This window comes from Homo sapiens, chromosome 20, assembly GCF_000001405.40.
Source record: "Homo sapiens chromosome 20, GRCh38.p14 Primary Assembly".
NCBI lineage: Eukaryota > Metazoa > Chordata > Mammalia > Primates > Hominidae > Homo > Homo sapiens.
In genome coordinates, this window is record NC_000020.11 from 6,889,161 (window position 1) to 6,902,144 (window position 12,984).

Sequence of the window (12,984 nt, forward strand, 5' to 3'; positions counted from 1 at the left end):
GCTAGCACTCTACTTGAAAAATGGAATCTACCTAGTGCTGACTCATTTCCTTGCAAAATGTTGTGTGTGAGCTATTTGATGCCCCCAGAATCTTGGGAGTCCTTTTGGATGAATTTTATAAGCCGTTCCTTGATACAGATACTGCATGCTTAGACGCTACAGGTTGCCAAGATAACTCAACCCCAAAAGACTTAAGGTAAATGAAATCTCCAAGTCCCAAGGATTAGGTATGAGTTTTGGCTGCTTGGGTTTTCTCACACAAATGCCTCATATGGCAGCAGAGCAGGCAGCACCCTCCGCAGAATTGGATTATCTTGATGTTTAAGTTTTGCAAATGGATCATTCTCAACTGACCATGTGAATTGAAGAAGGTTGCTGAACTTTTGCTGGCCTCTAAGCCGTGGGCAAATAGAGTGAATCCTATTGATTAAACCCAAAGCTTCCTCCTGTGGAAAATCCTATTTAAGTAGAAGGATTATTACTATTGCCCATTAAAAAATAATCACTATATTGGGCTGGGTGCGATGGCTCATGCCTGTAATCCCAGCACTTTGGGAGGCTGAGGTGGCGGATCACCTGAGGTTGGGAGTTCCAGACCAGCCTGACCAACATGGAGAAACCCCATCTCCACTAAAAATATAAAATTAGTGGGCATGGTGGTGCATGCTTGTAATCTCAGCTACTCGGGAGGCTGAGGCAGGAGAGTTGCTTGAACCCAGGAGGCGGAGGTTGCGGTGAGCCAAGATGGTGCCATTGCACTCCAGCCTGGGCAACAAGAGTGAAACTCCAACTCAAAAAAAAAAAAAATAATAATAATAATAATCGCTATATTGTACCTTTCTTATTTGAAAGGGAGCCAGAATCTAAACAGTAAAGTGTGGTGAGGGGGTTGTTGTTCACTAGGGTGTCTCCCATAGTACAAGTTTATGATTGCATAGTTCCTGTTTCTAGTGCTTCCCTCTACTCTCCTTGACAGGTTTTAAACTAGATAGCAAGATTTTAGGTGCTCCACTGCATAATAAAAGTGTATTGGAGTACTGTGTGGATTCGAGCACTGGCTTCTTGGCAGGAAGAAGAAAACCCTCATGAAGGGTCAGAAGTGGAAGCCATACCTGGTACAGGTCTTGTTAACTGAACATTACTCTATTAGGTTCTCTTAATTATTTGAAAAGTCCTCTTCCTCCTTGCTCCAGGTTCCCTCCCTTTAGGTTGAACCTTCCATGAATTTTACAATCCATATCATTTTCTATCTAAATGATTAAAGCAAGAGCTGGCACCCTCTCAGGACCAGCCTGCTAAGTATTCATTTATTCACCGTAATTTAAGGCTTTCTCTGCCAGGAGTAATAACCCTCCTCCTCCTTCAGGCCATTCTGGATGCAGAATCTGAATGTCAGCCTGGGGCGAAGAAAGGAAGGGCAGAAAGGACAGAGAAGAATATAATTGTCCATAGGTTTCCATAGCTTTGTTAATATTTTTCTTTGGTGGATTTTGACACTGGGGAAAGGTGCATTAACCTTCAGATTACTCTTTAAGGAAGGTAATCCTGGAAAGATAAAGAGGAGTTTTGTGATTTTGGAGCATTTCTGCCTTACAAAATGGAGAGAGAGTTTCATAAAATAATAACAAAAATCAGAAGCAACTTGAGGAAAAAACCTAGAAAGAAACAAAACACCAGGAACAAAGACAAAGGAGCTGTTCTTCTCTTCTTTTAGGTTCCTTCTTTCTGGTATTTATTTATTTATTTATTTATTTATTTATTTATTTATTTGGAGATGCAGTCTCACTCTGTCACCCAGGTTGGAGTACAGTTGCATGATCTCAGCTCACTGCAACCTCCGCCTCCTGGGTTCTAGCAATTCTCCTGCCTCAGCCTCCCCAGTAGCTGAGATTACAGGTGCATGCTGCCACACCTGGCTATTTTTTTGTATTTTAATAGGGATAGGGCTTTGCCATGTTGCCCAGGCTGGTCTTGAACTCCTGAGCTCAGGCAATCTGCCCACTTCGGCCTCCCAAAGTGTTGGGATTACAGGCATGAGCTACCACGCCCAGCCTCTTTCTGTTCTCTTTATCACCAACATTCATTGAATAAATGAATATGTGGATAAAAAACCAGTGATTGAGTACATTTTTGAATGAATAAATGAATGAATCATAGGTCAGTGTTCCTCAAATTCATTCATTTTCAGAATCAAATGGAAGCCCTTTTTATAATACAGATCCCTCATCTACCCCTTCCCTTTCCATCCCAGAGTTTCCAATTCATTAGGTCACTAATGGAGCCCAGGGATCTGTATTTTCAACTGCTTCCCAGGCAATTCCAATGATCACCCAGGTTTCAAAACCCTAGGCCTACAGCACAAATGATAAATGATAACATTTAGGTTCTGTCTCTCATTTCTCCTGCTATTGGCCCCACACTGAATTTAGTTGCAGATTGATATTAATCAGTTGTTTTTTCCTCCTCCATCTGACTAGCTGATTGCCCTGCCTGTCATCCTTATGAATTGCAAATGAAATATGGTGACATTTTTCCAGAAGTTATGTCTTAGAGACTTTCCAATTTTAAAATAATCACCAGGGCTGGGTGCAGTGGCTCATGCCTGTAATCCCAGCACTTTGGGAGGCTGAGGTGGCTGGATCATGAAGTCAGGAGATCAAGACCATCCTGGCCAACATGGTGAAACTCCATCTCTACTAGAAGTACAAAAATTAGCCTGGCATGGCAGTGCATGCCTGTAGTCCCAGCTACTCAGGAGGCTGAGGCGGGAAAATTGCTTGAACCTGGGAGGCGGAGGTTGTGGTGCCACTTCACTCCAGCCTGGGCAATGGAGCAAGACTCCATCTCAAAAAAAAATTAAATAAATAAATATAAAATGATCATCAGATTTTCCATCCTGTTCTATCTCAACTCTTGTGGAATTATCCATTCATGCAAAAACCAACAGGTCCCTTGCTTTGTTTGCTTGTTTTTGGTTAGAAAAGAGTTTGCTTCCGAAATCCATTGGTTTTAAAAATGCCTCATCATCATCTCCCTGCTTACTCATGTATATTTATCCTACAAATATGTATCAAGTATCTCTAGTGTCCTGGGAACACTGTGGATACAAAGATGAAAGATATCACCCTTTTCCTTAGGGAACCTGCAGACCAATGGTAAGCTAGATACAAAAATGATTATTTCACACTCCAGATATGGTGGAGGGATGCATAGGTTAGGAAAGTTGGGGTATATATTGGGTTAGGAGGAGGATAAGTCTTGAAGAAGAAAGTGAAAGCTGAGATTTAGATGATGAAGGGAACTGAGGTATTATGCCTGCAGCCAAAACCTAAAACTTTGGAGAACTAAAGGCAAAGCTGTGTGTGTGTTGGAAGGGATGGCGGTGGGAAATGAGATTGGATATGTAGACAGGGACCACATTAAGAATAACTTCCTAAAATATTGAGTTTTAGTCTGAAGGCATGGGAATCACATATGGGACTTGAGCATGGGGTGGACACAAACAAAATAAAAAACCCATATATTTAAGGAAAGGCGCTCTTATCATGATGGGGTTTGCCTGACTTTAAATTTGCCATATTTGAGACAGTGATAAGGATCTAAATGAAGTTTCAGTCAGAGGATTTAAAGAGCAAAAGCAGAAGAAAGAACAGAAGCAGGAGAATTAATTGCTTGACCACCTAGAGAATGATGATGTGATTATGGAAGCAATTGTTTGACTGATTTTTATTCATTTTTTCCTGTGAAATTCAAAGAAAATGCTGACAGCATCATAATATGACAGTCCAAATCCAAGCACTTCAGCAAGTGGGGATTTATTTATTTTTTTCTTCTTATCAAGGTTGAAAGATCTTCTAAGCACACATGAAAGAAACAGCAGGGCCAAGACTACTTTGAACTTACTGCATACGATTCCTTTCATATAAGATGTGCTTGACAAACATTAATTAAGTCTCCCAGCACCTCTTTGAAGTAATGTAGGAAATATGTAGAGGTGGGTAAACTGAGGCCCCAGGAACTAGAAGGAGAGCCTGAGGACATACCAGGGCAGGTGCAGCATTTGAAAAGACCCTCACAGGAGGCCCCTCTTTCTCTGATGAGGCCAGATGTAGGTGCTTGTTTCCAAGCAGAGGTCTTCCAACAAGTTCTCTCAACCAGGCAGGGGTGAGGCAGACTAGTTATTTGCTCCAATGGCCATACTCTCTGACCTAAAACTTTGGAGAACTAAAGGCTCCTCAGACCTGGCAGCCTTGAGCCTCATAGCACACCCTATCTACCTATAATCCAGATCCACCATCTCCTTCCTGAAATTGACAGCTGTGTTGCATCTCTCCTAATGCTTGTTTTGTCCTTATAACTGGCTGAGACCACTTGATTCAATGGCTAAAAGAAGTACCCTGAGTCACTTTGGTGCCTGAGTTTCTGCTTTTTTTTTTTTTTTTTTTTGCTTTTTCATTTTTGGAGATTAGCCTCACTGGTTTAGCATGAAAGATGTTTATTACGGGCAAATGGAGAAGTTGAGTTGTGATACAGGCCCCTTGGCAGCTTTGGCCAAACTCACAGGGGGCTCTAAAGCTGAAATAGCCCTTCAAAATTGTCCCGAGTTGGTTACTTCCATGTTGATTAATCACTGGATGTGGCTCTTCTGGGAAGGGCAGAGGCTGAATCAATTCCTGAAAAAGGTGAATGGCTAAAGACTGTGCCCAGGCCACATTAGGAAACACATCTTCTGCTTGCTAAACTAGGTGCATCCAAAAAGACGGACCTTGATCAGTTTTATTGGCTACCCAAATATCAATTCATTCTACACATTCAACTGGTCTTCTAACCTATATATATATATATATATGTGATGCTGGAAATGATATTAAACACTAAAGCAATAAAATACGAAGTCTCTGCAGTCAGGAAACTTAGTCTGGTGAGAGAGATACTAAATAAATAGATAAACCTAGAAACATAATTAGTTCAGAAACGGCTAAATGCTTTAGGCAATAAAAGAATCAGAGAGGAAATACAAAATAAACATACACATGTGTTACTGAAGAGAAAAATATGGAAAACACTATCATTTAGTGTTATTCTCATCTAGAGAAATAAAAAGTCTTTGATGATCCAACAAGGTATGCAGATCACTAGTAATTTAGAAGGTTAGAAAACTAAGAGTTATGATTGAAACTTACGGTAAATAAGTGAAAACATTTTTATATTGCATTTTTTTGGCAAAAAGAACAAAATAATTAAAATAATTAGAGAAAAATAACATTTTTAGAAAGGAAGATTTAGAATTAGTAAATCATAAACAAGTATTTGGTAAACAGATCTGTAACGACAAATGAATATTTTTGTTATCTACTGACTCTTTTTATTTCTAATGTATTCTTCTAAATCCACTGTCCTTTTTTTTCTTAGCAAAAGTTTTTTTGGCAATATTTCTTAAAGAAATCTTTGACTATAAACATGTTCAGTTGCTTTACCAAAAGTAATAATTTCTTGCAATTCCTGTTCCTGTTAAAATTTCTAAGGAAGCCATTCAAAGATGAGTGACATCTAGATATTTTGTTCATTAGTTCGCTTAACCATTGATTTTCTATTTTATTTACTACATTTTCCTTTTTCTCTATGATTTAGCTCTCCAAAACATTTGGTCGGTTTATATGAAAGGGGCTATATCATAAACGCTTTTAAGGTCTATATGATTTATACATACAGCTCTCATGATTCATTTCTCAAATAGCCATGTTTGTGGATTTTTTTTAATTAAATTCTTGATTTATGTGAAATAGATAAATACACGGATCATTCAGAACAAGGGTGTCTGTGTCTGGGGGTGGGGAGGGGAAGGACGGGAGGGATTTGGATGCATGAATAACTCCCTATTGGTCCTAATGGGATTTGCACAAGGAAGACTCCTGTATTCCAAGATACAATCTTCCTTCATTCTGACATGTGGTTAGCTATATGTTATTGATATCATAACTTTAATTTCCGAGCCATGTTAAATCGATACATGTTTTAGATGTCCCCCTTAAGGAATGAAACATAAAAGAATATGCCTTTTTTCTTCTACCTCTCCCCATGTTGTATTTGGCAAATTACTTTGACATTCTAAAATATCTTATCTACTTCTGACTTTAAATCGCTTAGGGCTGCATGCTGGTCTTTCCCCGTGTTGTAAACAATCCCCTATGTTTAATCAGAATTTACCATCATCATAGCAGAAAATAAAACCAAGAATGTGTCTTACAATGGGAGCATTTTATAAAAGACGATACTTAAACAGCGTTTCCTGTAATAGCAATAAAACATTTTCAAGCTCACTCTCAGCTGAGGAAGGGAACTTTTACCCTGCCCAGAACTAGAGTTGTGTGAGAAAGTGTATGTGTGCATGTTTCAAATAACCAAACTAATAAGTCTTATTTCTCTCCTTATTATAATCAGGGGAACAACCATTCTAATAAAATTGTGTTCAACAGTTCCTCTATAAACTCACTCCCTCATCCTAGCTCCACCTGGTATAATATAAAATCTAATATACTTTGGAGGCATTTTTAATAAAACTTTTTCAGATGACTCTATGTGGCAACACAATTCATTTATAGTTTCCTATTAGTTCACCTTTATAGAGGTTTTAGTCTTTTCTATCTCATGGGGTAAGTCACTTTTTTTCACAGCCAACATGTAGTTCTATTGATCTAATCTTTTTTAAAAGTTTTGAATGTAAGAACAAGGTTGGGATAGGAGGAGAAATTAGCTGACTCGTACCACTGTGATGTTAAGGTTGATATTTTATGTGGATTTTACATTACACCGACATCTTTTATTATAAGGCTATCTATTAACTATGCTATTTATGAAGGTAGGGAAAATGGAAGGAGATACTTCATGATTTATTTTTATTAAAATAGCTTCAAGATCATTCTGTATTATTCTCAGGGTCAAAATAGTGTTATTCATTCAAAGTGACTTCTTATGAAGGTAATATGATTCAAGGATGGTGATAATTTGGAATGACTTCATGGCAAAAAGACGTAGTGAAGCCTCCTGTGAGCATGGGAGAAGGGAGTATTCAAATGAAGAAGGGTCACTTTTAATCAATGGCTGAAATCTGGCTGCCAGCATTTTGAAGTCCACACCTGTATTTGCATGGAGGTACCACTGGATTGTTGGACTATGGTGGTGCTTAGTATCCTGTTCTTAACATTCTTCTCCTTGGGCCTGTGACCTTATAGATGATAGTCAGCAAAGTGCAAAGTTGAGAAGCAACTCACTGCATATTGAAGAATCCCCCAAAATCTATGGAATTAAAGCATCAGATACCTCTGCAAGACTGGTTATGCAGTTTGTGAGGCTCAGTGCAAAATAAAAGAGCAGCCCTTTTATTTTGAAATAATTAAGAATTTAAAGATGGTGGCAGTACAGTATTAAACCAAGTATGGGGACCTTCTAAGTGCAGAACCTTATGTGACTGTTCAGGTTGCACACCCATGAAGCTTGCCTGCCTTCAGACACCTCTGGATGTGAAGGCTAAAGTAAAGCTAAAAACGAAATTCTACTTAAGTAGTGAGACATCAGATTGCCATTTCTGCTCTACACAGATGGGCTGGGGTCTCCTACCAGCAGAAGGCTGAAGTTGAGCATTCAGAGTATGGCCTTGGATATTCTACTATTTGCTGCATATAAATTCATTTCTCTAAGCCCAAGGGTCCTTGTTTCTAAAATAATAGTTTAAAGCAGATCTTCCAGATGCTTGAAAACTGAACTTAGTATTCTCTTTTTTTTTTTTTTTTTTTAAGAAGGAGTCTCACTCTGTAGCCCAGGTTGGAGTGCAGTGGCTCGATCTCGGCTCACTGCAAGCTCCGCCTCCCGGGTTCACGCCATTCTCCTGCCTCAGCCTCCCAGGTAGCTGGGACTACAGATGCCTGCCACCACACCTGGCTAATTTTTTGTATTTTAGTAGAGACAGGGTTTCACCATGTTAACCAGGATGGTCTCAATCTCCTGGCCTCATGATCTGCCCGCCTCGGACTCCCAAAGTGCTGGGATTACAGGCATGAGCCACCGCACCTGACCTTACTATTCTTAAAAATGTTCAAAAGCAAGACAAAAACTTTCAAAAGCAACCCTTGGGGGGTTTGAGGTGGCTTCCTGAAAAAGTTGGGGTATAAAGAGGCATAAGTGATCAATATTTTTCTCTAGTGATGGCTATGATTTCTCTCAAAATGTAGCAGTGTATTGAAGTAGAACATGGAAGTTATGAAAACTCTGAGATGAGGCAGATCTGAAATGAACCCATGCTCTGTCCATTACAAGCTGTGTCACAAAACTTCTTGTACAATGTGGTCAGTAATAGTACTTACATTAACGAGTTGTTGATATATAAGATAATACATGAATGGTACTTCTTTGGATGCCTGGCACATAGTAAGCATTCAGTAAATGGATGTGGATGAAGGCGAAGAAGGAGAAGAGGAGGAGGAGGAAGAGAAGGAAGAATATGATAATGGTAGTGGTGGTGGTGAAAATGGAAGCCATGGTTATTAAGAAAGTGGGAGCTGAACTGGAACCAGTCTGTGCTAGAATCTTCTTATCATCACTACTTGTAAGACCCTGGACAAGTAACAACCTCTTGGTGGGTTCCTGTATCGGTAAACTATCACTGAGTAACAAACCACCTCAAAACTCAGTGACTTAAAATGACTAGTATTTATTCTTGTTCATGTGACTACACAAGAGGCAGCTAGTCAGCTGGGAACCTAGGCTTCAAGTTGCCGATCTAGCTGGCCTGGGTTCTAGGCTGGCAGCTGGGCTCAGGTCTACTTTCCATGTCTGCTATCCCCATTGGATCTGCAGTCTGACTGGAGTGTATTCTCATGGCAATGGTGGAAGCACTAGAGGAAAAACTCCCTGTGCAAATCCATGTCAAGGTTTGTCTGACATATGGCTATGAATATCCCATTGACCAAAGCAACTCACACAGCTGAGACTCAAGACAATGAACAGGGAAGCATGCATTACATCTACTGGGAAGAACCCCTATGGCCAAGGGGTGGATACAGACAAGGAAAAGAACTGGGGCAATGAGTTTCTTTACATGGAATATGGTGCTAACAAAGTGACTTCACTCATAGACCTGTTTTGAGCATTAAATAAGATAATCCATGTAAAGCATTTAGCACAGTGTAGGCACATAATTGGCACTTAATAAATGTCAGCTATGTTAGTAATGAAGATTCTCATCATTCTATGACCCTAATGTAATGAAAGATTTTACACAAGAAAGGCATGTGTAGTCAGGGGAAGTTGGAAAATGTTGGAATAAGTTTAGTGGTGAAATTTTAGCCAGGCCTTAGAAAAAACGGGCAGAATTTTCATGAAAAGAAGGAGGGAGAGGGTGTCACTGAATGACAAAGAACAAAAACAAAAAGCCTAGAGGCAAAATAACATGGATCCAAAACACGGATTGTGTTTGGAGTTTTAGGTGAATTAACCACCCTTTATTTCCATCACTTTTCTTTTAAAATCCTTGAGGTGAATTGTCATTCCCAATCCTGCTGTTTGTTTGGAAAGAGAACAGAGAGTACACTTATAATAAACCAGCTGTAAACCTGTGTTCTCAGCTTGGAACTTCCTCCAGCACTTCCCCTCCCTGGGCAGGTGCTGCTTCCCAGGGGTCTCCTTCCATCCTGAATGGAAAGCTTGTCTGCAGTAATCCAAGGGTGCCAGGAATTAGGAAAGACGCCTTGAGGGCTCGATCCTGCCTTATAGCCATGAAGAATGGCTATTGCTTATGTGCAAGACTCCAGGAAGAGCCCTGAGTCTCCATGAATTCTTTTGTTCTCCCTGAGCAGCAGGGATTTGAAGCAGAGGACCCTGTTAGCAATGAATATTGTGAGCGCTTCTGTCCAAGCCTCCTGTATATGCCACACTCAACTTTCCCGGCCCTGCCCTTGTGGCAGCCTGCTGCCTTGCTCGCACCCTGGTGTGCTGATTAACCAACAGGGGCAGAGAGCCTGCTGCTGACACAGCCCAAGTTGTCCAGGCCTGTTAGCATCCCCCTCAATAGACACAGCCTGAAAAAAGGTGAGGGGCTTTCCTCCCCTCCTAGGAAACATATGTGTACTCTGAGGGTGTGCTTTTGAAGACAAACCTTTAGAGAAATCATACATAGAATAAAGTCAAGCTTGGAATTCTTCCAGCTTTAACATCATCCTACGTCTCCCTTTTCATCTCACCTCACCCTACCCAAGGAAGCATGGTTTGAAACCTCTTCAAATGCTTTCGGCTTTCAACTCTAGCCTTCAAATGGATTTTGACAAATTATTGTTCAAAACCATTTTATCTGGTTATTCCTGTCTGTATCGATGCTTTTCAGAGTGGTTGTGTCCTTACACACATTAAGGGATGCAAGTTAAAGGAGATGGTGATGGCTGTCCAGTTATTTAACAAATATTCAGTGTTGAAGATGTTGTAGTGTGTCCCTCAGATCTCCCCTTTAGGACTGAGGCACTCTTTCCCCTAGTGGCTGGGACTGTTGGCAGCTAACACCTCTCAGCCTTGTATCTCTCTGATCACTGTTCTCAGGTAGAGAGAACGCTCATCTCCAAAATTATGCTCTTTTCTTGGGAACAGTCTTCTCCAGACTGGTAGGTAAAAGGGAAAACACCATGCCTCGAAGTGGGACAACTTAAAAGGGCTGTCCCAACTTCAGAGCTGTCTTGGGGTTAGTTGAGGCTTTTGTTGTAACCCAGTCCTCTTCTTAGTCCTATTATCCTCATTCAACCATGTGTATTGATCCTGGGAACACTTTGCAGTAACTTCTTTTTTTTTGAGATGGAGTCTTACTCTGTCGTCAGGCTGGAGTGCTGTGGCGCAATCTCGGCTCACTGCAACCTCCAGCTCCCAGGTTCAAGTGATTCTCCTTCCTCAGCCGACCGAGTAGATGGGATTACAGGGACACGCCACCAGGCCCAGCTACATTTTGTATTTTTAGTAGAGACGGGGTTTCACCATGTTAGCTAGGATGGTCTCAATCTCTTGACCTCATGATCTGCCCGTCTTGGCCTCCCAAAGTGCTGGGATTACAGACGTGAGCCACTGCGCCTGGCCTGCAGGAACTTCTTTACACAGATATCTGCCTTAAAGTCATTTTCCTTAGAACTCTGATCTAGGACATCGGCTGTGGGCCAGGCATGGCTCTCGGCACTTTTCATACCTTAGCCCACTTAATACTCACAACTGCCATCCTTAAGAATTAAGGAAACCAAGGTCGGGGCAGGCTAACTAACTTGCCCGAGCTTCCTCTTAGTAAGTGGCAAAAATGTCTGCCTTTCTCCAAATTCCATAATCTGTATGCTGCCTCACCATTTTAAAAACAGCAAAGGCAGCTTAAGGCATGCAAAAATGTGGACCATTTGTTGAACAAATGAATGAATAAATGAGATGTCAAAGCAAACAGGAAGGTGGTCAAATGTACAGTAAAATGATCTTTCTGTAGGAATGTCAGGGATGAGTACCAGGGAATCTACACTGGGATTCAGCTGTGTATGAGTGTGTCTGATGCACGGATAGATCTGCGGCCATGGGTAAAATCAAAACCCCATAAGAGAGCTGCACACTAGATTCATCAAAGTGAGGGTGGAAGGAGGAAGAGCTACCACACTTAAATGGAGGTATTTGAGAAAGGAACTATTTACAAGAGTGTAGACAGATCTAAAAGAAACTTACAAGGGACGGTGAAGCTTTCTGTGTCTGACAACAGCAGGCAGCCATTATCACCTGTAAGACTGAATAGACTTTTTGGAAAATATTTTAATACTTGTGCCAATATAATTCATATCCTTTGTAATCTAATGTATTTTATTTTGTGCATTTAAAGCTATTTGGAAAAGGGATACAGGGCTTCACCAGATTGCCAAAGGGTTTCATAGCACCAAAAAAGTGAAAAACTCCCATAGAGGGCACTGGGAACACTGCATCTACCTTCAAGAGGCTTTCTTCAAAAAGTGGAGAAGACAGAATGGTGCAGAGGGCGCACTGGGACACAAAGCATGGCAGGATAAACCTGCCTGAAGGATGGAAAAAGATTGCATAGAGGAAATAATACTTAAACTGAGTTTTAGAAGACAGGTGCATGTCCACCAGGTGGGCAAAAGAGTGGAGTAAATGCAAGAGGCTGCTAGAGAGGGAGGAACATGGAAAAGGAGAGGTCTCTGCAGAGAAAGCAAGTTACCCAAACACGCAGGAGCAACAAGATAGAGAGGTGACAGCAGGTACAGAAAGAGTTGAGAAGAAGCCAAGAAAAAGCTGAGGTATTTCCGTGAACTTGGAGAACTGTTAAAGGACTCCATCCCAGGAAGGACACGATCACATCTATATCAACTGTAGAATCATCACATGGTCTACTGTGTAGAGAATGAAAGAAGAATGCAAGGGTGGGAGATAAGGAAACACATTAGGACCCTGTTGCCAGAATCAAGGCTCAGTGTCACGAGAGCCTGAAGTAAGGTGGTGCCTGAGACCAGCATGTGTGGCCCACTTGGAAGCCACTGAATAATGCACCAGAACACACCAAAGGCTTTCTGCGACTCTCTTCCAAAGGCGTTTTCTGGCAGAAGGAGGATGCTTGGCCTGTGTATAGACCCTCAAGGCACTAAGGGAGATAATGTCCCAGGAGCAACCCTCAATTAATGAGGGATGGGAGTAGGTGGATAAATACTCCAGCTTCCTCACCCCCTAGGCCAACTCTGCTGAGGCATGTTCAGTGCTGTTTCTTAGAGGACACCAGTGAGGGTGAGCTTCGCTTGCCCACAGTAGTAACTTGATGTCTTCCTTTCTCCATATCGTTTCTCCACATTCTCACAGTTTTTCCTGGAATCACCTCCCAAATAAACCACTTGAACTCAAACCTGATTTCAGGGTCTGATCTGGGGGAAATCCAGACTACAACAGGCAGTTTTAGTGGGTCTGGAGAGATGAGAATGT